The sequence below is a fragment of the Homo sapiens genome, chromosome 13, assembly GCF_000001405.40.
Source record: "Homo sapiens chromosome 13, GRCh38.p14 Primary Assembly".
Classification (NCBI taxonomy): Eukaryota; Metazoa; Chordata; class Mammalia; order Primates; family Hominidae; genus Homo; species Homo sapiens.
The window spans coordinates 56,255,011-56,280,471 of NC_000013.11; the positions used below are offsets into that span (position 1 = coordinate 56,255,011).

Below are 25,461 nucleotides of genomic sequence, written 5' to 3' on the forward strand. Positions count from 1 at the left end.
TGTCAATTAGAAATAAACACTATGAGAACTCTGTTGCCACAGAGAAGCTATATTCTAGCCTTAGGTATAGCACAGCAGTGTGGCTTTCAAGTACAGGTATGCCTGAAGTTCTGATCTCCCTGCTTTATATCAACTGCCACCTCTGGTGCAGATTTATAGACATCAGTGGAAAAATGTGGCCTTGGTTGGCCAGTACCTGGCCACAAGCTTCCAAGCCTGACTCAAGAGCTCTTATGGAGATTAACTGGATCTACTTTTAATGCTTTATTGCCAAACAGGCCGAAGTCAATTTTTCAGTTTGCTCCTTTAACTTTTATTTGTACAAGTATTTAAACATGAGAATCTAGGGCAACAGCCATCCAAGTAACTCCCCATGTGCAGAAACTGGTTTAGTTTAAGAAAACTAAGCAAATATATGGAAGATATTAACAAAAGGAAAATCAGAGATGTGGGAACCTCTATAGCAACTAATTATGTGTACCATTATTTTCCTATCTTAATTTTGTTTTATATTTTTAGATGTGTGTTGCATTCATGAATCACAGATTGTAACAGAATTCTTTTATGAAAATATTTCCAAAATTCAAGATTTTCCATATACTTTTCTGTACTACTAATAAGTAAGCATTTCAAATATACTTTGTAATCATAAATTCTTCAAATGGGAGCCAAATTGGCCACTGAGATTTTACCACAGGCATAACTCATATTTTGATTCACTTTATTGTGCTGCTCAGATATTATATATCTTACAAATTGAAGGTTTCTGGCAACTTTACCCCTATGTTCAGCAAGTCTATGGGCACCGTTTTTCTAGTAGCAATTTTTCAACAGTGCTCACTTTGTGTCTCTGTGTCGCATTTTGGGAATTCTCCCTTTTTCATTATTATTATATCTGTTATGGTAATCTATAAGCAGTGATATTTTATGTTACTATTGTACTTATTTTGGTGTTCTATGAACCCTGCTTATATGAGACAGCAAGCTTAATCTATCAATGTTGTTTGTGTTCTGACAGCTCTACTGACTTGCCATTCACCCATCTTTCTCCCAATCCTCAGGCCTTCCTTGACCCTGAAACACAATAATATTGCCACTAAGCCAGTGAAAACTATACAAGGGTCTTTCATGTTCAAGCAAAAGGAAAAATTTCACATCTCTCATTTTAAAATAAATGTTAGAAATAATTATGCTTGGTGATATGGTTTGGCTGTGTACCCACCCAAATCTCACGTGAATTGTAATAGTCCCCACATGTCAAGGGTGGGGCCAGGTGGAGATAATTGAATCATGGGGACAGTTTTCCCCATACTATTCTCATGGTAGTGAATAAGTCTCACGAGATATGATGGTTTTATAAACAGGAGTTCCTCTGCACAAGCTCTTTTGCCTGCCACCTACTTTATCTTCTGCCATGATTGTGAGGCCTCCCCAGCCATATTGAACTGCAAATTCATTAAACTTCTTTTGTTTATAAATTACCCAGTCTTGGGTATTTCTTATTAGCAGAGTGAGAACCCTGACTAATACACCTAGTGATACAGGCATGTTGAAAGCTGAAACAGTCCAAAAGTCACATAAAGGAAAAGTTTTTGAAGGAAATTAACAGTGCTACCCCAGTGAACACGCAAATGATATGAAAGTAAAACAGCTTTATTGCAGATATAATGAAGTTTTAGTGGTCTGAATAGAAAATCAAACTAAACACAACATTCCCTTAAGCCAAAGTCTAATTCACAGCAAGGAACTAACTCTTTAATTCTATAAAGGCTCAGAGAGATGAGGAAGCTGTAGAAAAAAAAAATAGTTTGAAGCTAGCAGAGACAGATTCATGATGTTTAAGGAAAGAATCCATCTCCATAACATAAAAGTACAAGGTGAATCAGCAAGTGCTGATAGAGAAGCTGCAGCAAGTTATTCAGAAGATCCAGATAAGGTGATTGAGAAAAGTGGCTACACCAAAAAACTAACTTTTAATGTGATTGAAACAGCTTCATATTGGAAGATGTTATCGAGGACTTTCACAGCTAATGAAAAAATCAATGCCTTGCTTCTGAGCTTTAAAGGACAGGATAACTCTCTCATTATGGGCTAATGCTGCTGATGACTTTAAGTTGAAGCCAGTGATCATTTACAATTCAGAAAATCCCAGATTCCTTATGAATTATGCTAAGTATACCTTGCCTGTGCTCCATAATGGAATAACAAAGATTGGATGACAGCACATTTGTTTACAATATGGTTTCCTGAATATTTTAAGCCCAGTGTTGAGACCTACTGCTATAAACAGTCTTTCAAAATATTATAATCATTGGCAATGCATCTAATTACCCTAGAGCTCTGATGGAGATGTACAAGGAGATTAGTATTGCTTTCATGTTTACTAACACAATATTCGTTCTGTAGACTGTGGATCAAAGATTAATTTCAAATTTGAGGTGTCATTAAGAATTACATTTTTCAATATTTAGCTGCCATAAATAATGATTCTTGTGATAGACATGAGCAAAGCAAATGTACAGCCTCTGGAAAGAACTAACTTATTGGCTAGATGACATTAAAACATTTATGATTCATAGGAGCAGGTAAAAAGATCAATATCAACAAAAGTTTAGAGGAAGCTGATTCCAACCCTCACAGATGACTTTCAGGGCTTCAAGACTTCAGGGGAAGGAAGAAATGCAGATGTCATGGGAATAGTAAGATATTGGAGTCTAAAGATGTGACTGAATTGCTGCAATCTTATGATAAACTTGAATGGATGTAGATTTGCTCTTTGTGGGTGAGTAAAGAAGATGGTTTCTTAAGATCAGATTTGCTCCAGGTGTGGATGCTGTAAACATTGTTGAGATGACAACAAAGGATTTAGAATATTATATAAAATTATTCAATAAAGTAGCAACAGGTTTTGAGAGGATTGACTCCCATTTTGAAAGATGTTTTATAGTGAATAAAATCCTATCAAACAGCATCACATTCTGCAGAAATATTTTTGTAAAAGTGTCAATTGATGTCTTAAATTTTATTGTTGGCTCATTTAAAAAATTCCCATAGCCATTCAACCTTCAGCAACCACCACCTTAATGAGTTGGCACCCCTCAATTAGAGCCTCCCTCAGCAAAAAGATAACAACTCTTCAAAGACTCAGAGGTTTGTTAACGTTTTTTTAGAAATAAAGTATTTTTAAATTAAGGAATGTACTCTTTTATAGACATAATGCAATTGCATACTTAACTGACTACCATGTAGTATAAACATACCTTTTATATGCATGCATTGGGAAACTAAAAAAATTGTGTGACTCATTTTATTGTTATATTCACTTTATTATGGTGGTCTGGAACCAAACCTGCAGTATCTCTGAGGTATACCTGTATTTCAAACATCCTTAAGTAATTCTATCTCTGTAGCAGGCAGAATTATGCATCAAGAAAACTATAATAAACTCACTAAGCTGTGGAAAGATTTAATAGTCTGACCAATGACTGATGAACTCCTCATCATCAAAGTTCCTCAAGTGTCAGCTGGATGATCACTTGGTGGTGGCAGAAGGGGGCGGGGTGCGGCAGGGCTGTGGATAAAAGGTAGATATCAGTTGGTGAGGTCCAGATCCTTTTAATCTTAGACTGGCAAAATTTAACTACCTCATGGAGATGTTGTGAAAGCTCCTTGAAAAAGGACACATTAATTTACAAATGTTACTGCTCTGATGATGCACAATTCTAGGCAAAGTATTGGTGGCATAATGCTCTTACAGACTTCGTGCAGATTCCAAGATGTATATATTTCTTTTATCAACAGCTATTACCCAGACATAAATGGTAACACCCTAGGCGATTACAGAGACTGAAATGTCAACTTCATCTTTTGCTTCTGAATCTAGACCTTTGACTACAAAAAAATTCTGAAACATAAACGAATACCCTAAATATGCAAAGTGTTAGGCTTAATATTATGCTTTCCAAATATATTGAAATTACTAAATGAGAGTAAAATCTTTTGAAGATGTATTTTCAGTAGATTATGGGTAGTTTTATTTCTTATATAAAATGAGTGTTAAAGATGTAAATTTATTTAATACCTTGGTATTTTATTTCTACATTTTCATGTTAGCAAATAATTCAAATTAGCATGAAAATGAAAAATAATTAATAAAAAGGTTAATCATATTTTTACTGAACCTTAATATAGTCCCATTAATGTTCAGTTTGAAAATGAACAAAAGTGTAAAAGAGTTATTTTATCAAGAATACATGTTTTTGAATATTTTATTCAAAAATGACCATTACTGGAATTAAAATAAGTATAAATACAGGTAATTTTGAGAGCAGAGATTAGCTTATAGGGATAGAAATTTCAATTTTTGGTAAAGAGTGAACAATAAAATCTTAGGGATGAATGCAAAGATAGTTTAAAGAGTGCAGAATTAATAATACAGAAAGGAGCTTCAATTTGGCCAAATATAAAACCATAAGACAGAAACTGACACTGTAAAGTGAAAAAAAGAAATGTCAGGAATCAAAAAGCCGCAAAGAAAGTAATAATAAATTTTTAAAGGAGAACAGAGAAAAGAGCCACTCAGTTATCAATTGTTTATGCTGCTAAAAAAAGGTATCAACAAGAATGAATAAAATACCCGCTTTTTATTTTTATAGGTATGTACCTATATTTTTAATACCCTCTTTTCAGAAAAGTATTTTCAATACCTTGAATATAATTTGCTAAATACAAGTTAATATAGCACATTCACTTATTCAGAGTATACATCAATTTCATTAAAAAGCAATTGCTATGCAACTTCTTATAGGAATAAGTTTCTCCCCACATACAGAACTCCAAAACATTAACTTACTGAATTTTGAATATGTCTCTACTCATGACATTTAAGAACGCACAAAATTTAATTGACCTCTATGCCACTTATTTGCATTATACTTACCGGCAGGATTATAAATGAATATTTTGTCTCCATCAGAAGAAAAACAATACTGTTATATCTCTCCAATAGCAAATCATGCCAAAGCCAGAGCAAGTAAATAAAAATGCTGATAGTCAAAATGCCCCCTGATAAAAACAGAAAGAAAAATATTCTTATGGGCTCAGTCCTCACATTTTCTTCCAATCTCCTTGCAGAACTCTGTAAATGAATCATTGTGAACAAAATAATTTTGTACTCCACTTCAAACAAACTTCTTAAGCATAGAAAATTCTTACATTCTGATAGACAATGGAGCCTTTGGGGGTGAGAGGGAAGTGGATGATAAATTACTTAATGTGTACAATGTACATTAGTCCAGTGATGCATACATTAAAAGCCCTGATTTTGTCACTATGCAATATGTCAATGTAGCAAAATTACACTTGTGTCCCATAAGTTCATACAAATAAAAAAAATTCTACAGTAAAAACAAAACAAAACATTGTTTTAATGCAGGGAAGGGTCATTGATTTCATTTGAAACAATTCCCAAACAGGACATGGCATCTCAGACAGCTCCTTGGCCCTTGGTAATTGTGTGCAGGTTTTTCACATGAGTGCCGGGCAGAACACAAGGTATTGAGACACAGTGAGCACTGCGCATAGCACTGGAGACTGGCTCAGGACACAAGGTGCTTGTGGCACCGAGCCCTGTAGCATTCCCTGCATCCCAGAAATTAGACTCCTTCACACATGCCTCCCTCTATTCCCCCGCCAACTTCATTTCCAGCCTCCAGTATTTAGTAGAGTAGATATTGAGTTTTCCTTCTTGTTATTTCTGTTAAGATAAAAACCAACCACAACCCCATAAGAGAAATTAACCTGCAGTGAGCAAAAGGGAAGAAAGGAAGAATGAGGAGGACTGTCTGATAATATAAACAAACAGGATAGGCTTTTACCAACACAGCCTAAAACAAACATGTGAACACTGATAGAGCTGAATAAAAGCTTGTCAGTAAAAATCAGTGCATATACACACATTTAATCCAAGTTTCTAAGAGTAAAATGGTAACAACTCAAATGTTCATGAATTGATGAGTAGATGAAGTATGGTATATTCATTAAAACCTGAACATTTTACATTCTACTCTTTACAACCTTTAAAAGAGAATCATTAGCAATTAATGTAAATTATTTGACAATGTAGCAAACACTACATTTTAGAAAATCCTACCACCAATCTTACAAGCCATGACACTTTGACTATGATAATAGGAATGCATAAATTTCAAAAAAAAAAATTAAAAATAACATTTTAATATTCGTATAAGTAAGGCTTTATAATTTATCTGTAAGTGTAAGCAGTCTTTAGGATGGAGGACAAGCATATGCGGGGCATTTTTATTGTCATTTATTCCGTAAAGCCAATTATAACTAATATCTTCTTACATTCACACCAGCTCCTCCATCCACCTTCTCACTCATCACTCCAAACACACATACCACTTCTTTATTTTGCCTTTTTCTAACTTAATTACATTCCGGTGGAATACAGGAACAAGGCAACATAATAAACTGTGAGGGCTTAACCTTCTGTCAGTTTAACAAGTAAATCTTGCTTCTGATATAGCTGAGTAGTTTCTACATGATTAGCAGTTCTACAGATAACTAAAATATTTCGATGTAAATAAAAATAAAATAAGTAGAATACTAATAAAATACTCAATCCAAATGAGTTCAAAAAGGAGGAACAAGAGAACAAAATAACAAAAAGGGATTAAAGGCAAAGCAATCAAATATATTAATAATTACATAAAACATTTATGGAATAAACACTAAAATCTCCAGAAAAATCAATTAGATCTGAATAAATTTTAATCCCAATTTTTTTAGAGATTCAAAATAATAATTTATTAAAAGCTTTTTTGTTTACATTTATTTCATCTATTGTCAGGAATTATCTTTTTTCTTTTTTTCTGCAGAAGCAAGTTCTTAATTATAATCATGTTACTTCTGCCATGATAACTTCTTTTAAGTTTTTTGTAACCTAGGTCTACTGGTAATAAATTTTTTCATTTTTGAAGGAGAAAATATATTTTTCATTCACGTTTGAAATATATTTTCTTGGCGGGGCGCAGTGGCTCACGCCTGTAATCCCAGCACTTTGGGTGGCTGAGGCGGGCTGATCACGAGGTTAGGAGATCAAGACCATCCTGGCTAATACGGTGAAACCCCGTCTCTACTAAAAATACAAAAAAATTATCTGGGCATGGTGGCGGGCACCTGTAGTCCCAGCTACTTGGGAGGCTGAGGCAGGAGAATGGCGTGAACCCGGATGGTAGAGCTTGCAGTGAGCCAAGATGGTGCCACTGCACTCCAGCCTGGGCGACAGAGTGAGACTCCGTCTCAAAAAAAAAAAAAAAAAAAGAAATATATATTTTTTTGGGTTAGCACAGTTTTTTTGCTGTTGTGTTGTTTGTTTGTTTTATTTTATATATTCCAATACCCTGTCTTCCAGTACTTTTAAAGTAAGAATTTTGCTATACTTCTTATATTTATTTGTGTATATAATCTGCTGTGTTTCCCATCTTTATTTCTTTTTTATTGCTTGCAATAGATTTAATTTATCTTGAATTTTCAACATTTAGAATGTTATGTCTCTTGATACATTTTGTTGAAAGTACTTATTCTGCTTGAGGTATTTTTATGATTTTCATTATTCTTAAAAAATGGCCTTTGTTTCTTCAAATATTTATTCTATTTTGTGTGTGTTTTTTTGGGATTTCCATTGTGTATATCTTAGACCATTTAATATTGCCGCACATCTCTTGGATGCTCTGGGGTTTTTTATTATTCTCATTTCTTTTTGTCTTTCAATTTGGCTTTTTATTGTTTTTGTTTGTTTGTTTTTATTTTTTGAGGCAGGGTCTCACTCTGTTGCTCAGGCTGGAGTGCAGTGGCATGATCTTGGCTCACTGCAACCTCCACCTTCTAGATTCAAGCGATTCTCCTGCCTCAGCCTCCCGAGTAGCTGGGGTTACAGGCACGTGCCACCATGCCCAGCTAATTTTGTATTTTTAGTAGAGACAGGGGTTTCACCATGTTGGCCAGGTTGGTCTTGAACTCTTGACCTCAAGTGATCCACCCGCTTTGGCCTCCCAAAGTGCTGGGATACAGGCGTGAGCCACTGTGCCTGGCCCTTTTATTGTTTTTTAAATTAACTTTTCACTTACTCTTTCCACAATTCTGTCAAGTCTACTGATGAGCCTGTTAAAATAAATCTTTGTTTCTGTTACCAGGTTGCTTTTGCTGTTGTTTTAAGCTTAACTTTTGACACTTTTGTATAGTTCATTTTCTGAAATTCCCTACCTGTTGTTTGTTGTAAATCTTTTCCACTAGAGCCTTTTGTATATTACAGTATTTTAAATTCCCAGCCTGATAATTTCAATATTTGAGTAACTTTGGAGTCTGGTTCAATTAATTGCTCTTACATGTATCATAATTCTTGACTGATTTTGACACATTTTATATAGAACAAGAGAGACACAAGTGAATACTTTCTGGATTTTAGTGGTTACTTCTCTTTGACTACTAGGTCATTGACACCGGTGTTTGATTGAATCTAATCCACAGTAGAGCTGTCTTTACATTTTCTTGTTGCAAGCTTCAGTGGAACATTGGATGTTATTCCTCTAGTGTTACCTTGGGCTTAGGATACACACTGGTTTGCCAGAGGGTCTTCTTCACTGTTCTTCTTCAACCTAAGTTTTAAAACTGCACCTTAGAAAGCACCTGACTAAATACCCTTCATACCCTTGCTCCTTCCTCTAATAATAGGCTCCTATTTCCAGTTCCCACGTGTTGCCATTGCAGTTTTTTGGGGTAGAAGTGTTCTCTCTTCTCTTGGTTTGCCCCGCCTCAGGCAGGCTTTGTGACCCCAAGTCTCAGGTTGTGGCCTTCTCTCACTGTTAAAAATTGTGGTTTGGGCCCAGGAAATGTTTCTGCTACATTCCCAGGGGTGGAGGGACATTTTCGCCACTTTGCTTGTCCTTCCCCCATTGTAGACCTTCATTTGTGTCATCAGGGTAAAAGAGTTTGCTATTCTTCCCCAGTGGCTCAGGACTTTTGTTCCTGAGAGGAAAAGGGCACAGGTAGAACTATATATATTTTCAAGCACTCCTCCTGGCCAAAACTTCCAGTAGGGATATTCTCTGGTCTCCCTCCCTTCTCCCAGTTTTCATCATACATACCTGGTCAGGTCCAGGGAACTTGTAGGCTGCAAGTGATTGTGAGTTCCTCTTATGTCTGCCGCTTTTAAGGGTTCTATTCAGTCTTTACAAATTCGTTAAACATTTTAATTGGATTCTTCTTACCTACTTGAAGTGAGACTTCTATTGTCTCTTACTGTCACAAATGAGCCACTGCTTATGCCTATCTTGAACTCCCTTAGATTTCAGGCTAGTGTATTTTCTTGGAATCTTGACACCCCAGTGAGTTCAAGAAAACTTATGGCTTTATAGATTATCCAGGTTTTTCATGTTAGGATATGAAAATGTCTCTTTGTAGCTTTCTGCTCCCTGAGGTGAAGCCAGACATCTGATTACCTAAATAATTTAACGTGCATTTTAACTTGATAATGTTTAAATGTAATCATCATTTCTACCTCCTCTGAAATATTATAAGAACCTAATTATATTGACTTATGATATTTATTTTTGTTCATGAGAAACATATTTTTAGGGTTTAAGAAATATTATTTATCTTTTTAACTTTTTTATGATTTCTGTTTTCTTTGCTCTTCTAACGTTTTATTATGATGTGTTGTAGTTTTGATTGTAATGCTATATACATGTAAATCAATTACATGGCTTGAATCTTAGAATCTATACCTTTCATTCAATTACCATCCACTTAAGCCACTTGTGACTACCAGGTTGAAAAGATGATCGCTGGGCATGATGCTCAAGCCTACTTTTCTATTTTATATTTTCCTATTCATATTTTACCTTCCATTTTTTTCAATTTTTTTCAATTTTTCTCCTTTAGATCTTTCTTATAGAGCATTAATTCTACATATACTTATGTAAAATGTGCTATGTGACCTATACATTGACCTTTAATTATAATAACTATATTTTCTATAAACTTTGTTTTATTATTTTTAAAATTTCTGTGTATTTTTATTACTAGCACAAATATGTATTTTAGTTTTTATTATATTTAATCTTCATTCATTGAAGTACTTCCATTGTTTACTATGTTTTCTGACATTAATAATCAATTGTGTCATTGTTGGGTTTTAGTGGCACTAAATATATTGATATCCTAGCAATTGGAAATTGGAATTAAAAATTAAAATCACAATATTATTTATATTAGCATCTCCAAAGTAAAATATTTAGGTAAAACATCCCCAAAATACATACAAAATTTATATTAGAAAATCTACTAAATTCTAATCAGAACAAAACGGAAGATCTGAATAAATTAAGGGCTAGCCTGTGTCCATGAATAAGCAATCTCAATATTGTCACGATGTCAGTTCTTTCTAATTTTATCTACATATTCAATTTAATTCCAATCAAAATCACAGAATGTTGTTTGTGGATACCAACAAACTGATAACACAGTTTATAGAAACATGCAAAAATCCCAGAATAGTAAATGCAATATTGAACTGGTCAAATAAAATCGAATAATTTACACTACCTGATTTCAAGTCTTCTTTTAAAGCTATAGTATTAAAGATAGCGTGATATTGGCTAATGAATAGACAAATAGGCCAGGTGTGGTGGCTCCCGCCTGTAATCCCAGAACTTTGGGAGGCCAAGGCAGGTGGATCACCTGGGGTCAGGAGTTTGAAACCAGCCTGGCCAACATGGTAAAGCCTCACCTCTACTAAAAATAACAAAAATTAGCCAGACCAAGATGGTGAAACCATGTCTGTACTAAAAATACAAAAATTAGCAGAGCGTAGTGGCATGCTCCTGTAGTTCCAGCTACTTGGGAGGCTGAGGCAGGGGAAACGCTTGAACCCAGGAGGCAGAGGTTGCAGTGAGCCGAGATCACACCATTGCACTCCAGCCTTGGTGACAGAGCAAGACTCCACCTAAAAAAAAAACAAAAAAACAAAAAAAATAGACGAACAGATAATCAATGGAACAGAATAGAAAGCCAAGAAATAGAATCACAAAAATGTAGACAATTGATCTTGGACAAAAAAGAGTGAAAGCAATACATTGGGGGAAAAATATTATTTTCACAAAATGATGCTAAAATAAAGACATCCACATGCAAAAAAAAAAAAAAAAAAAAAGAATCTAGACGCAGACCTTATTCTGCCTACAAAATGGGTCATAAACCAAAATGTAAAAGGCAAAACTTTAAAATTCTGGAAGATGACATAGGAGAAACCCAGATAAACTTGGATTTGGCATTTAATTTTTTAAACTTTGATGACAAAACCAAAGTCATGATCTATGAAAAAACATAATTGATAAAGTAGACTTCATTAAAATTAAAAACTTCTGCTCTGTTAAAGACATTATTAAAAGAGATAAGACAACTACAGACTTGGATAAAATATTTCAAAACACATCTGATAAATAACTGTTATCCAAAATATATACAGAACTCTTAAGACTCAATAAGAAGAAAACAAACAACCTTATTAAGAAATGAGCAAACAATCTGAACAGACTCTTTACAAAAAAAAATGCAGATGGCATATAAGTATACAAAAGATATTCAATATTAGTTGCCATAGGGAGTTGCAAATTAAAACAATGAGATACCAGTACACATCTATTTTAATGGCTAAAATCCGATAGAATAAAAACAACAACAAATGCTAAGGAGGATGTGGAACAACAGAATCTCTAATTCTTTGCTGGTGGGAATGCAAAATGATACAGGCACTTTAGAAACAGTTGGAAGAATTCATACAAAACCTAAATAAACTCTTACCAAATGAACCAGCAATTCTGCTCCTTGGTTTTTGGTTTTTACCCACAGGAGTTATAAATTTATGTCCACATAATAACCCACACAAGGATGTTTAGATTAATAGCTGCTTAGTCATAATTGCCCGAACTAGGAAGCAACTAAGATACCCTTCACTAAGTAAAATGGATAGACTATGGTACATCCAGAGAATTTAATATTATTCACTGCCAAAAATAAATGAGCTATCAAGCCATAAAAAGACACAGAAGAATCTTAAATGCATGTTACTAAGTGAAATAAGTCAACACAGAAAGACTATACACTATGTGATTCCAATTATATGGCATTCTGAAAATGAAAAGACTATGGAGACAATTAAAAGATCAATGGTTTCCGGGAGCTGGGAAGAAAGAAGGATGAATGGGCAGAGAAGAGGATTTTTAGGACAATGAAACTATTCCATATAATACTATAATAGTGGTTATGTCTCTTGAGAAATTTGTCAAGAGCCGTAGAATGCAAAATTTCAAGTATAAATTTCAATAAAAACTATGAACTTTGGGTGTTAATAAATTGTCAATGTGGGTTCATCAATTTTAATAAATATAGGGCTCGTGCAGGTGGTTGATAGTTGTAGCAGCTGTGCATGTGTAGACATAGGAGGTATATGGGAATCTGTACTTTCCCCTCAAGTTTCCTGTGAACCTAAAACTTCTCTAAAAAGTAAATTCTATTTTTTTAAATGAACACAGCTAAAGCTTACTTAATTGGGTCCTGGGGTTATAGAAATGCCAGCACTTAGTTGTATAAATTGATTCTAATCAACATTTTAGGAATATTTCTTATTTGGGATCATTTTAACATTATCTCTCAGCTTGAGCTATTCAAAAACATACAAATATGTAATTCATAGCCACTACTGAATATCACCTTTTATCTAAGCCCCGTATGTAGGACACAGCACAATTTATTGTAATTTTCTGGACAGTTGGACAGACTTTTTTAGTGTCCTTTCACTGATGTGGAGATATTTTAGGGTCAAAAATTTTAGTTTACTACCTTTATACATAAATGGAGATGATAAAAATGCCCTGCCTATATTAGCCCAAAAGCCAAAGACTATCCTTCTTGGATATTAATAGTCCAACTTAGAGCTCTTAAAAGGCTAATTGAGCCTTTTACTTAATTTCTTATTTCAATTCTGGCTTAGAGAGAATTCAAGTGTTTTTGTGCCCACTATGTATTAAAATTATTTAATACCAATATTATAAATTTTATTTTTTTAAAGCAGAGTAGGTCTGCCTTTTCAATCAAGTAAGTTCCCTCAATGGTAATCACTTCTAATAAATCACTAATTACATGTAATTATAACTTTGATTACTACTTTTCCAAACATTATCTTTGAGAAAATATATTTTTATATTTTTTATATTTGGTATTTAAAAGTATTTAAAATTATAATTTTTTTATTGTTTTCTAGAAAAAGTGCAGCTTTTACAATTTTCACATTGAGACTTTCATGGGAAATATAGTTGTAGATAACATTTGAAAAATATTTTTAGTTATTAAAAAGCAATGTATACTCTTCAGGGACGTAGTTACTACTATAATGTAGATTATTAAGATAAAGAACCCTGCTTTGAGGTTTCTGGAGTAAATTCTTGCTTTATAACTTTATGCCATATAATCATTTGGTTAGCTATACTATACCTTAGTTTTGGGGTATTAACTTTGTATTAGTTTTTATTGTTGCCATAACAAATTACCATAAATTTCACAAATTAAAGCAGCACAAATATATTATCTTACAATTCTCTTGGTCAGAAGTCTGACATTGCCTAAAATCAAAATGTTGGTAGAGCTGCTTTCCTTTCTAGAGGCTGTAGATATGAAGTCATTTCTTCATGCATTTAAGGTTGCTGGTAGAATTCAGTTCCTGGTCACTGTAGGACCAAGTTTTCCATTTTCTTATTGGTTGTAAACTCAGGGAATATTCTCTAGTTTCTAGAGGCATCTGCCTACCTTGGTTTATTGCCTCCTTTCTCCATCTTCAGTGCCAGCAAGCACGGGTCAAGTCCTTATAACGTAGCATCTCTTTAAACCTTTGTATCTCCTCTAAGCATGGTTGGCAAATGTTTTCTGGTTTTAAAGACTTACGTCATTAGACTGTAACTGCCATGATAATCTAGGATATTTTCATCATTTCAACTTCTGTATCCATCATCAAATCTTCAAAGTTTCTTTTGCCATAACAGGTAACTAGTCCCAGGTTCCAGGAAGTACAATGTGAACATCTTTGGGATATCATTATTCTGCCTAGTATGATCTTTTTGTACACTGACTCTCCTTATTTGAAAAAATTGACTTCTTTAGAAACTCATGTTAGATGTATATTGGATCTTCCATTCTACCTCACAGTATTTAAAGTCTTCATATTTCTAGGTTTATATCTTTAAGCAGCATCTGCACCACAGCATGCTCTCTGATTCCTGAAGACCTCAGTACACGATTTTCTCCAACTACCACTCAGAAACTATCATTTAACTTGATGCATTTTCAGGTTCATGTTTTTGTAAAGGAATCAACTCAAGCACTACATTATAAAAAGGAATTACCTTTGCACTTTAATATATGCGTGTATATGTGTCATTGTATATGGGTATCATAATATATTTGATTAATTTTTTCGGTATATCACTTATTCATCCTAGTGAAATGTAGGTTTTGAAAGTCAGAAAAACTGCCCTATAGATCCCATTTTTTAGAACAATGCAAGGACCATCATATACACTGAAGAAAAACTTGATGGTTCTATAAATAAATGTATTGGGTAAATGAATGAATAAATCACCATGTTCAGTGACGTTTGATTTTAGTAAGACAGCATGATAGAAAAAACGACTACTAAGTTATGGCTAAAGTATTCCCAATTAGTTTGATTTTTAGCCAGTTAGTTCCAATCTTTGGATTTTCCTTGGTACCCAGATTTCAAAAATAAGAAGGTCATATGGCATGACGATTTCACTGAAACAGATTTAACAAAAAAAATTCCATGAATTTCCACTAGGACCCACTAGCAATTTAAAATCATGTTATAGATGATCCTGAATTTTGTTTGCCATTATAAATCCCCTGTTCAGAATTGGGGAATAAACAATAAAAAGCTATCTTAAAAATTAATAGGATTATGGAAAATATCAACTTTTAAATTTGCTAGACAGAGGAAACCATTTCAGGCATATTTATACATTTGTTAAGTGCATCAATAAGATTTATCCTTTAATGTAGTAATTCATACCTTTCATACGAATTAGACATATAAATGATAATTATATTTTGATAGAATTTCAGAATAAAAATTCTTCCACTCAAGTATGGCTCTGCCAATATACAGATGAATTGTCTAATCAGGCCACACAGTCTCACTGAGTCAGTTCCCTCATCCATATACTAAGAGGCTTCTATTAGATATCATGTATAACCTCTAGTGTTCTGAAATTATTTAATTTCTGTGTGAAGTGTCTTTTGTTCCCTACATCATCTTTTATTCAAATGGCATCTGGGTTACTCAAATTATAAAATGCTTTCTTTGATGCATGAGGAACAAAAGTGTGATTCTTGCTTAGAGTAATATGTCAAATTATGATATTTCTAGTTAATAAAAATGAAACACTATTCTCTCTCATATCCTGTTTGTTGGGATTATATATCACCATATAAATAATAAGTATATGTAACTATACTATATATATAATTTATCTAGATAATAAATAAAATATTTTTATATATTTATATAAAGTGCATAATTCAATAATTAGGAAAATTTGTCCAACCATTAAACAGAGAAAATTTACTTTATTGGGCATGCCCTATTGCTATTTCAGTATTACACAGAGTATATTTATATTACATATTATTTTCACTGACCAAAATTATGATTTTCTGCCATACAATGTTTGTTTAATTTACTTTTTATGGGTTATTATGAATGATATGCTGTTTTCTAATATGGGCTTTTGTGGAATGGCTATGCATTTATAATTAGTAATCCTTCACTATTACCTTGCTCAGAGAATCATGAATTCTCTCTTGCCTTTCTGTTTTTTTCTTTCTATTTTAGAAATCCTAAAAACGTGACTGGGATCGGTGGCTCACACCTGTAATCCCAGCACTTCGGGAGGCCAAGGCCATCAGATCATGAGGTCAGAAGTTTGAGACAAGCCTGGCCAACATGGTGAAACTCTGTCTCTACTAAAAATACAAACATCAGCTGGGTGTGGTAGCATGCACCTGTAATCCCAGCTACTGGAAAGGCTGAGGCAGGAGAATCCCTTGAACCCAGGAGGTGGAGCTTGCAGTGAGCCGAGGACACACCATTGCACTCCAGCCTGGGACAGAGTGAGACTCCATCTGAAAAAAGAAAAAAGAAATCCTAAAAACATTGTTCCTTATATACTGAAATAAAACAAAAGCATAAACACTAAGTCATCTTAATTATCATTTAAAAATTTTGACTTGAAATATGCCTAAACGGAGTTAATGTATGTAATTCAATCTGTGTTTCTCTTCATCAAGATGATTCTAAATTAAATCCTTTAAGAAAATATGCCATTATGAATAGAAAATATAAAACATCAACAGACTTCCTTGAATTCTACTTATATTACACAATGAAAGCATGTTGGAGGCCGCACAAATGTTTCTTGTGATTAGGCACATCTGAAGCCTGTCAGTAACAATATGAACCTGTGATCAATTAAGCAGCTGACTAATCGTTACCTCCTCCTCCTTGCTCTTGTTACCCAATAAATAAGAAGGGCTATAGAAGCTCAAGGGGGGCTGCCTTTGCTCACTAGAAGCAGGGAGTGCTCTTCTTGTCCATGCTAGCCTTTCCTTTAAACTGTTTCTTTTGCCTCTTTGTTATCATTTCTGTGTTTGTCCCTTTGTTCAGTCATAATGACGTTCTCTAGCAGTAACAGTAGTAACTGCTGTAATGATGGTCTCAAGCAGTAACCATGGCAGTTAGCCACAAGTGGTGCCCAAACAGGGATGAATAGGGACAGACAGGGACAGATAGGGATAAAGACTAGCAAAGACTAGCAATATAAGGTCAGTGCCCTAAAGAGGTACAAAAGTAGAGACTAGCAGAGACTAGCAAATACTAGCAGAAACTTGAAGGGACTATCAGGGACAGAGACCTGAAGGGACCTGAAGAGGCCTGCAGGGACAATAAGAAATAAGTAGAGATAAGTAGAGATAAATAGAGATAAGGAAGTACAGATAGGTAGGAGCAGACAGGGACTTGCAGGAACTAACAGGTACCATGGGGACAGATCAAGAAAACCATACAGGAAGCTGAGAAACTGCTGGAGCACCGGGGTTTCACCTTTTGCTGGAACTCAGAGGTACAATCGATGCTTAACAGACCGATGATTTTTGACTGAGCTCCTCTCTACGCTGAATACAAGAGACCCTAATAGTTAGGCAGGAATATCATCGCCCCTATTCAGCATGAAGAAGTTGCAGGAGACAGACCTTCATCCTTCTGCAGCCCTTAGGATTAAGGGTCCTCTTGCAAAAGGGAAGGGGGAAATATGTAAGAAGCATTCAAACCAGAGTGACTCCATTTTGAATAAGGGCTAAGAAAAATGAAGCTGGATAACCAACTGGCAATTAAGGGGTGCACAGCCTGCAATTGCCTTGCTCAATTAATTTAAAAACAAAAAGGAGATGTTGGAGGCCACACAAATGTTTCTTGTGATTAGGTACATCTGAAGCCTGTCAATAATGAACCTGTGATCATTTAAGCAGCTGACCAATCGTTACCTCCTCCTCCTTGCTCTTATTACCCAATAAATCCAAAGGGCTGTGGAAGCTCAAGGTGGGCTGCCTTTACTCACTAGAAGCAGGGAGCTCTCTTATTCTTCCCCATGCTAGCCTTTCCTTAAAACAGTTTCTCTCGTTTCTTTGTTATCATTTCTGCATTCCTCCCTTCATTCAGTCATAATACGGTCTCAAGCAGTAACAATAGTAACTGCTGTAATGATGGTCTCAAGCAGTAACAGTAGTAACTGCTGTAGTGACAGTCTCAAGTAGTAACTGTGGCGGTCAGCCACAAAAGCAAACTTACGAATATTCAGGGCTTGCAAGTACATTTGAACCTTGAACAACATGGATTTGAATTGCATGGGCCCACTTAAATGTGGGGTTTTTTTTCAACAAAAGATGGATGGAAAATAGAGTATTCAAGGAATGTATGTCTTCTTTTGAAGTGTCTGTTCGTGTCCCTTGCCCCCTTTTTAAAGAATTGTTTGACTTTTTCCTTGTGTCTTACAGATGCTAGATATAGACCTTTCTCAATGCATAGTTTGCAAAAATTTTCTCCCATTCTGTAAGTTGTTTATTCTATTTATAGTTTATTTTGCTGTACAGAAGCTCCTTGATTTAATTCGATACCATTTGTCGATTTTTGCTTTTGTTGACATTGCTTTTGGCATCATGAAATCTTTGCCCATGAGGGTCATCTTTTCTTATATATGGGTTCTACAGGACTGACTGCAGAACTTGTGTATGCATGGATTTTGATATATTCCAGAAGTCCTGGAAACAACTGCCTGAATATACAAAGAGCCAACCGTAATATGCTTTCATCTAAGCCAGTAGTTTGTCTAATATTTTATTCCAAATATATTTCATTATATTATTTATTTAATATAAAGTTGTCACTAAGCAAACAAATGGCATTTTATCAGATAGTTATTTTGTTGGTTGGGTGTTCAAGCTATCTTGTTTAAGTTCAATCTCAATCACACCATAACTTTCTAACTTTAGACTTCTCACTTAACCCCTCTGAAACTTAGGCATGGACTCTGAAATTAAACAAATATAAGATCTTACATGTATATTATATGTATGATTTAGTTTAAAGTCCCAGTTTAAGTTGCAGAGTAGAAGAAAATAAATCAGTAAAACAAAATTAAAGGTAATATGAACAGGACCCCGGAGAGCAGTGTTGTCACAGTCTGTTTTAAAGTCTGAAAGTCAGTCTCAGTCAGTTGGCTGTTGAGAATATCCCAGGCTGATCAATGGAATTTGTTGTGAATTATATTTGCCGTATTTAAGTTTATTATTTGAGGTGAGAAGTAACACTAAGCAGGCAATAAATTCTTAGAGGTTTTGTGAATTTTTTCCTCCAATTTATCTTTCTGAGAAAAGTAGACTTGATTATTTCTTTATGATTTGCATGCAACATAGGGACACAGAGATTATAGCTGATAAGCGGACCCTTGATTGGACAAATAATTTATCATGTTTAAACTACTACTCCCAGAGACTGTGCTTCTAATAGGAAAATATACAAAAAAGGACATATTGAAAGAACTATGTTTTAGTATATTTCTTTTTTCTTTCTTTCTTTTCTTTTCTCTTTTTTTTTTTTTTTTGAGACACTTCACTCTTCTTGCCCAGACTGGAGTGCAATGGTGTGATCTTGGCTCATGGCAAACTCTGGCTCCAGGGTTCAAGTGAGTCTTTTGCCTCAGCCTCCCGAGTAGCTGGGATTACAGGCGTGCACCACCACGTTGGGCTAATTTTGTATTTTTAGTAGAGACGGAGTTTCACCATGTTGGTCAGGTTGGTCTCGAACTCCTGAACTCAAGTGATCCACCAGCCTTGGCTTCCCAAACTTCTGAGATTACAGGCGTGAGCCACCATGCCCCTTCTCTTTTTTTTTTTTTTTTTTTTTTTGAGACAGAGTTTTCCCTCCTGTTGCCCAGGCTGAAGTGCAGCAGTGTAATCTCGGCTCACTAAAACCTCCGCCTCCCTAGTCCAAGAGACTCTCCAGCCTCAGCCTCCCAAATAGCCGGGATTACAGGCATGTCCGGCTAATTTTTTTGTATTGTTTTAGTAGAGATGGGGTTTCACCATGTTAGCCAGGCTGGTCTTGAACTCCTGACCTCAGGTGATCCACCATCCTTGGCCTCCCAAAGTCCTGGGATTACTGTTTTAGTATATTTTTTGAGGAGGTGAGAACAGTAGTAAAGTTTATCTAAAACTTCAAAGTCTGAAAAAAATCAAAAATAAGTGCATACTCATCAACAAGACTTGGGTGCAAGGTTGCATCCCTAATGTTACTAAACGTTGTCTTTCAAAGCATGACAGAGCAATTGAGCAAATGAAATATGGGCCCAGCTGCTAAAGAACAGGTTTATTTGCTTGTTTGTTTTACCATTTATGACAATGAGATGTGAACCCTTGGTTTGAATATAATAATCATGACAGAAATAGAACTGTTAAAAACACATTCCACGTGAAAGTAGGGTGACAGACCTAAGTGATTTCAGGTTAGGACACGGGCCTGGCATTGAGGAAACCTCCACATTTCTTGTTAGGTGCTTGAAAATATACCTTGACATCTCCAGACTTCTGAGCTTCTTCTCAATTAATTTGCTTTCCTTCCCCATTTCTTTTTTAATAAGAGAAAGACTGCTTTTACTTCTGACATCTCAGAGATTTCTTGAATTTTTTTGAATGTTCATCTGTGAATGTTGAAATATTGCAATGTAGTGTTTGTTAGTAGCATTTGTTATAGGATTAGTGTATGTGTTGTCAAAGTATTCCTTGCAAAAAGTTAAGAACATAACTCACAAATAAGTCATGTGTTGCAGATTTCTTTATCTCTTTAATGAGGAAATCAACAAGATAACAAAAGCTGGTTCCAAGGAGAATACAGAGACTGATTTGTATACCCAGTGAAAAAAGAAAGAAAGGAAAAAGCTAAATAAAAGATTTCTAAGTTAGATACTAAATTGCTTAATTTCCTACAGGACAGCCTTTGGTGATATCTTTTGAATCTCTAAAAATCGTTTAGACTTTAAATTTTAATGCTAAAGAATAACTTTAAAGGACACAAAGTAATTTTTTGCCAAATTTTTATATCTTGAATAATTTATCTTAATTTTGTACTTCACCCCCATAGTCCCAGCTAGGATATTTGCAAGTCTTCTGAGGTTTAAGAAGAAATAGTTTATACCTGCACTTCCCACACTAAAATAACCCAGTTTTTCTCAATCTTTTGGTATTTTTGGAGAGGTGTTGTCTAAGATGCTAGCACTTGGCCGGGTGCAGTGGCTCATGCCTGTAATCCCGCATTTTGGGAGGCCGAGGCAGGTGGATCACGAAGTCAGGAGTTCAAGACCAGCCTGGCAAAGATGGTGAAACCCTGTCTCTATTAAAAATACAAAACTTAGCTGGGCATTGTGGCAGGTGCCTGTAATCCCAGCTACTTGGGAGGCTGAAGCAGAGAATTTCTTGAACCCGGGAGGCGGAGGTTGTAGTGAGCTGAGATCGTGCCATTGCATTCCAGCCTGGGTGACAGAGCGAGACTCCATCTGAAAACAAAAACAAACAAACAAAAGAAGGATGCTAGCACTTAGGCTCCTTTTGCTGATATTCCCTATCGGTCGATATCTGTGTTCCCTATACCAGGTAACCAGATATTAACTTCTTTAAGTTCAGTATCCTCCTTTTCAAACATCACACCAAGGAACTCAATATATGGTGTTTTTAGTTGAAAATTTTGAAGTTTCAAGTTTAATTAAAAACTTAGAAGGAACAAAACACTGGAAACAACTTCTATTTCAGTGTTGGTAATACATGATACACTGTACTTGTCCTCGAAGAGATGTATTGTTCATTGCTGTCCCCAGAATTTGTTACTGGCTTTGACCCTACCTCCTGTTCTAAGCATGGGGGCATATCTCACCCATAGTTTTTTAAACTTTCAGTTTAAAAAGATTTTTTCTCTCTTCTATGTAGGCCAATTATTATACCAAATATTTGAAAGAAACAAATGAGTCAGAGTTCATTTCTTTTCTTCCAAGGATGCTAGCCACTCAGGTTGGACATGTTATAAACCCTAAATAAGCAAAATTCAGCCACACTGAACTCTATGGAACAATTCACATTATTTTGGAATTTTTACACATATGAAATAAATGCACAAAATATGTTGGTATCAACTGATATATTTATTATACTGGATCAAATAAAGTATTCAGGTTGGAATTTTGTTGGACTGTGAGAGACCATTTCAGTGGCAGTTTTTCTCCAATGTTGTTTGTTCTTGACGAAGGTTTTAAGTGAATTAAGGTAGTAAAGGGTCCCAGTGGAAATGGTATTATATTGGATTCTGAAATCAGAAAGCCTGAGTTTGAATCTGGGCTATGAAACATGAATGGCAATTGTGCCTCTCTTAGAGTTGTGATGATTCAGATAGTTCACATGGTTTAAGCACTTAGGAAATTTGTGTAGCATAAAAATTACTATGTGTTTGTTGTTTTTATTTGTTGTTTTATTATAATTATTAAACACAACTGTGACATGTTAAGAAGCCGCACTCTTATTCTAAAAAGATTATATAAAAACATTTTAAATGATTATAATATTTAAACTTAGAAATAAAGATCGTGTCCAGTATTGTCATAGAAAATATGAATCTTAGCTGGGCGTGGTGGCCCACGCCTGTGATCCCAGCACTTTGGGAGGCCGAGGCAGGCAGATCACTTGATGTCAGGAGTTCAAGACCAGCCTGGCCAACATGGTGAAACCATGTCTCTACTAAAAACAAAAATTAGCTGGGTGTGGTGGCGAGCACCTGTACCCCAACTACCCGGGAGGCTGAGGCACAACAATCACTTGAACCCAGGAAGCACAGGTTACTGTGAGACATGATTGTGCCCTGCACGCTGGCCTGGGTGACACAGGGAGACTCCGAGAAGAAAAAGAAAGAAAGAAGGAAGGGAGGAAGGAAGGAAGGAAGGAAGGAAGGAAGGAAGGAAGGAAGGAAGGAAAGAAGGAAGGAAGGAAGGAAATATGAATCTCAATAGGTGAAACTTATTTTAGTGAAGACAATGAAAGGAAAAAGCACGTTTCTTAAAATGTAGGCATGCAATGGATTGACATAAGGACTTGACAGTATGGAAAGACAATATATGGAGGGTAGGGCAGAAAAAGTACGAAGAGTTGAATTAGAAAAGATTTAATTTAGAAAAGATAAGGACTGTCACAAAGCAAAATGATGTTTGTTCCTTATTTTATACATTATAGTATAATTTAAAGCTTCGTTTAAGTCTGGATAAAAGATCAAGTTTTTAAGAAAATCCTTTACATGTGTTTTTATGAAGTATTATATACACTAATCTCAATAGATTAGTTATGAATAGAAACATTATGTCCTTTTTCTTGCTTACTTTTCTAGCCCAAGGACTCAGAATCACAATGACTCAAAGCTTTATTGTAAAAACCCCATCACCATTTTTTGATGCTTGAGATACCGCATCTTGTATAAAGATTCCATTTTAGGGGTCTGATTTGGAATTCAGATAAATGAGCACAGAGCATTACATCTGCAATTGGAGATTTACAAGATAGCAGGGAATGCATGCTTGACTATCTGAATTCAAAATCTAAAACTTCCAGATAATAGCCATCTTAATCACCTCACTTTGGTTCATAGTATTTTCTGTTTTTTTTTTCGTGTACATAAAAATCTCTAAATCTCTGTATATCTTCCTATCACAGATTTTTAGTGAATATTTAAATGTTTCCTTTAAATTATGCCTTAAGCTAGAGATTGTTTTATTTCAGTTAGAAAGCAAAAAGTTAACATCCATTTGATGCTAGTGTGTTTAGACACTGTGTATTTACACTACAATTTTTATTCATAACCTGTTTTGACTCAGAAGGTACTAACACAAGACATTTTGCAAACTTAAATAAATTTGTAATAATTGAGTTTGCCCCTCCTTTTTTCAAAATATGAGGTAAAGATTTATGAGTACTAAGGGTATACTTTTCTATGAAAACACCAAAAGATAATGTTATTACTGCTTATTAAATAGTTTATAGAAGAAACCAAAGAATCATGATCTCCAAAAACAGAAATTTTATCTGTTAATAATTGTACTTTCGGCACATAGGAGATATTAACTAAAGATTGGATGAAAAACAAAATAACTGAGCAATTGTGAGCTTGGGTATATCATATTGCTCATCTCCAAATGAATTTTTTAACTATCTTAAAGCATTGCTATGAGTATTAAATGAGTTAAATGAGTTAGAATTGAGCCAGGAACACTCTATTGAAAATAGGTTATTGTGTTACATGATTATGAGAATTATTAGTGGCAGTTTTATTGTAGGATTCCAGAGGAGGCTACTTACTCTTTGAATACACCCATGCTTTCAAGATGAATCAAAAGATTATTTTATAATACATGAATTTTTGCAAAATGATGCATATAAATCTCTCGTATTTAAAAAATTGAGTTTTCTAAATTTATCATACTTTATGACATCAATCTGTTAAAAATTTCTCTTTATAATGAATTTTCTTATATTTCTTATGTTAAGAATGAATATCTCAATGGGCATTTGAAAGATATATACATGCAAAATAATGTAAAATTATACCCACATAAGGACAGATATCTTGGATGCAAGGTAACAAATGCATTTACTTTAGATGAACTTAAACTGCATTATCTTAATAGCCCTGTGAAACTTTTCCAGTGTATCTGAGATACTGCACTGAGTGAATGTTCCCCTGGTGTGGAAGGTTTCTGGCTGATTAAAACAGTCAATATGATATACTAAGTTTCAGTCAAGTTTCAGTCAAGTTTCAGCAGGATTCTGGCTGATTAAAACAGTCAATATGATATACTAAGTCTCTCAGGCCCCTGTGTCTGACATATGATTGGTTTATGGCTCTTGCTGAGGGGCAAATAACAGCCAGGCAATGGTCCTCTCTCTCTTTCTCTCTTTTTTTTTTTTTTCATTTTTTCACCCTCTAACTGTATTTTTTTTCTGATTTTCTTCTGCCTTGCTTTAAATTTGCCATTGAAAGCTAAAGAGTTTATCTTTTTAAGTTTTATGGATTTAAGTCTAAGATTTAGGAAGCCTGAGAGAAATCAGGAAGAATTCTAGAATCCTATTCGTATGGGCTATCACGATGACATTTAGATTTAGCAAAAGATTTTAGCTGTAAGAATCTTTGCAAAGCCAGTGTCAGTATGTATTATTAATATTGAACACTCGACAGTGTAAGGTATTAGAGTTTTTAGTTGAATTTGAAATTTTGTGCTTAAGTATATTACTTTGGAAAGCCATTATAGAAAAATGATGAAATTTCTCTAGAATCTATTACTATAATTTTGAGACAAGATAAAGTGCAGTTGTAACAAGTAACTCTTTATTATGCTATAACTTATGTGGTCTAACATCACAATGAGAGGTAGAATTGAAAGATAGCCAACATAATATTTAGATTTGTTCTTAATTAATTAATTTCACACACACGTGTATCTCTTAGCTTATTAAGGATGAGGCACTATGCTGGGATAACATAGAAGTGTAATGAATAAGCACCTGGACCAAAAGCCAAAGGCCCAAAGGATAAAAATCAGTTTGCATCTGAAGCCCAAATTCATCATCATGGAGTGATACATGCATAAATCCAAAATTTTATTTTAGATATATTTTGAAATGAGTAAAATTAGGTAGACATATTTAAAATTTTGAGATACAATACAGAAACAATAA

The 25,461-nt window shown here is 34.7% G+C and overlaps 1 long non-coding RNA gene across 3 annotated transcripts in view; it reads right to left on the bottom strand.

Annotated features, from left to right (window-relative positions):
• Positions 1–3,305: 3,305 nt before the first annotated feature.
• LOC105370214 (uncharacterized) overlaps positions 3,306–25,461 on the bottom strand; it is a 477,307-nt gene continuing 455,151 nt past the window's right edge. Inside the window, exons 1-3 of one of the 3 annotated variants that reach the window (XR_941979.3) lie at positions 16,642–16,734; positions 4,940–5,137; positions 3,306–3,571 (exon numbers count right to left, since the gene is read on the bottom strand). This is a non-coding gene — a long non-coding RNA (uncharacterized LOC105370214). Of the gene's footprint in view, positions 3,572–4,939; positions 5,138–16,641; positions 16,735–21,215; positions 21,252–25,461 lie in introns of those variants that run through there. The other 2 variants (XR_941977.3, XR_941978.2) reach the window with 2 other exon arrangements.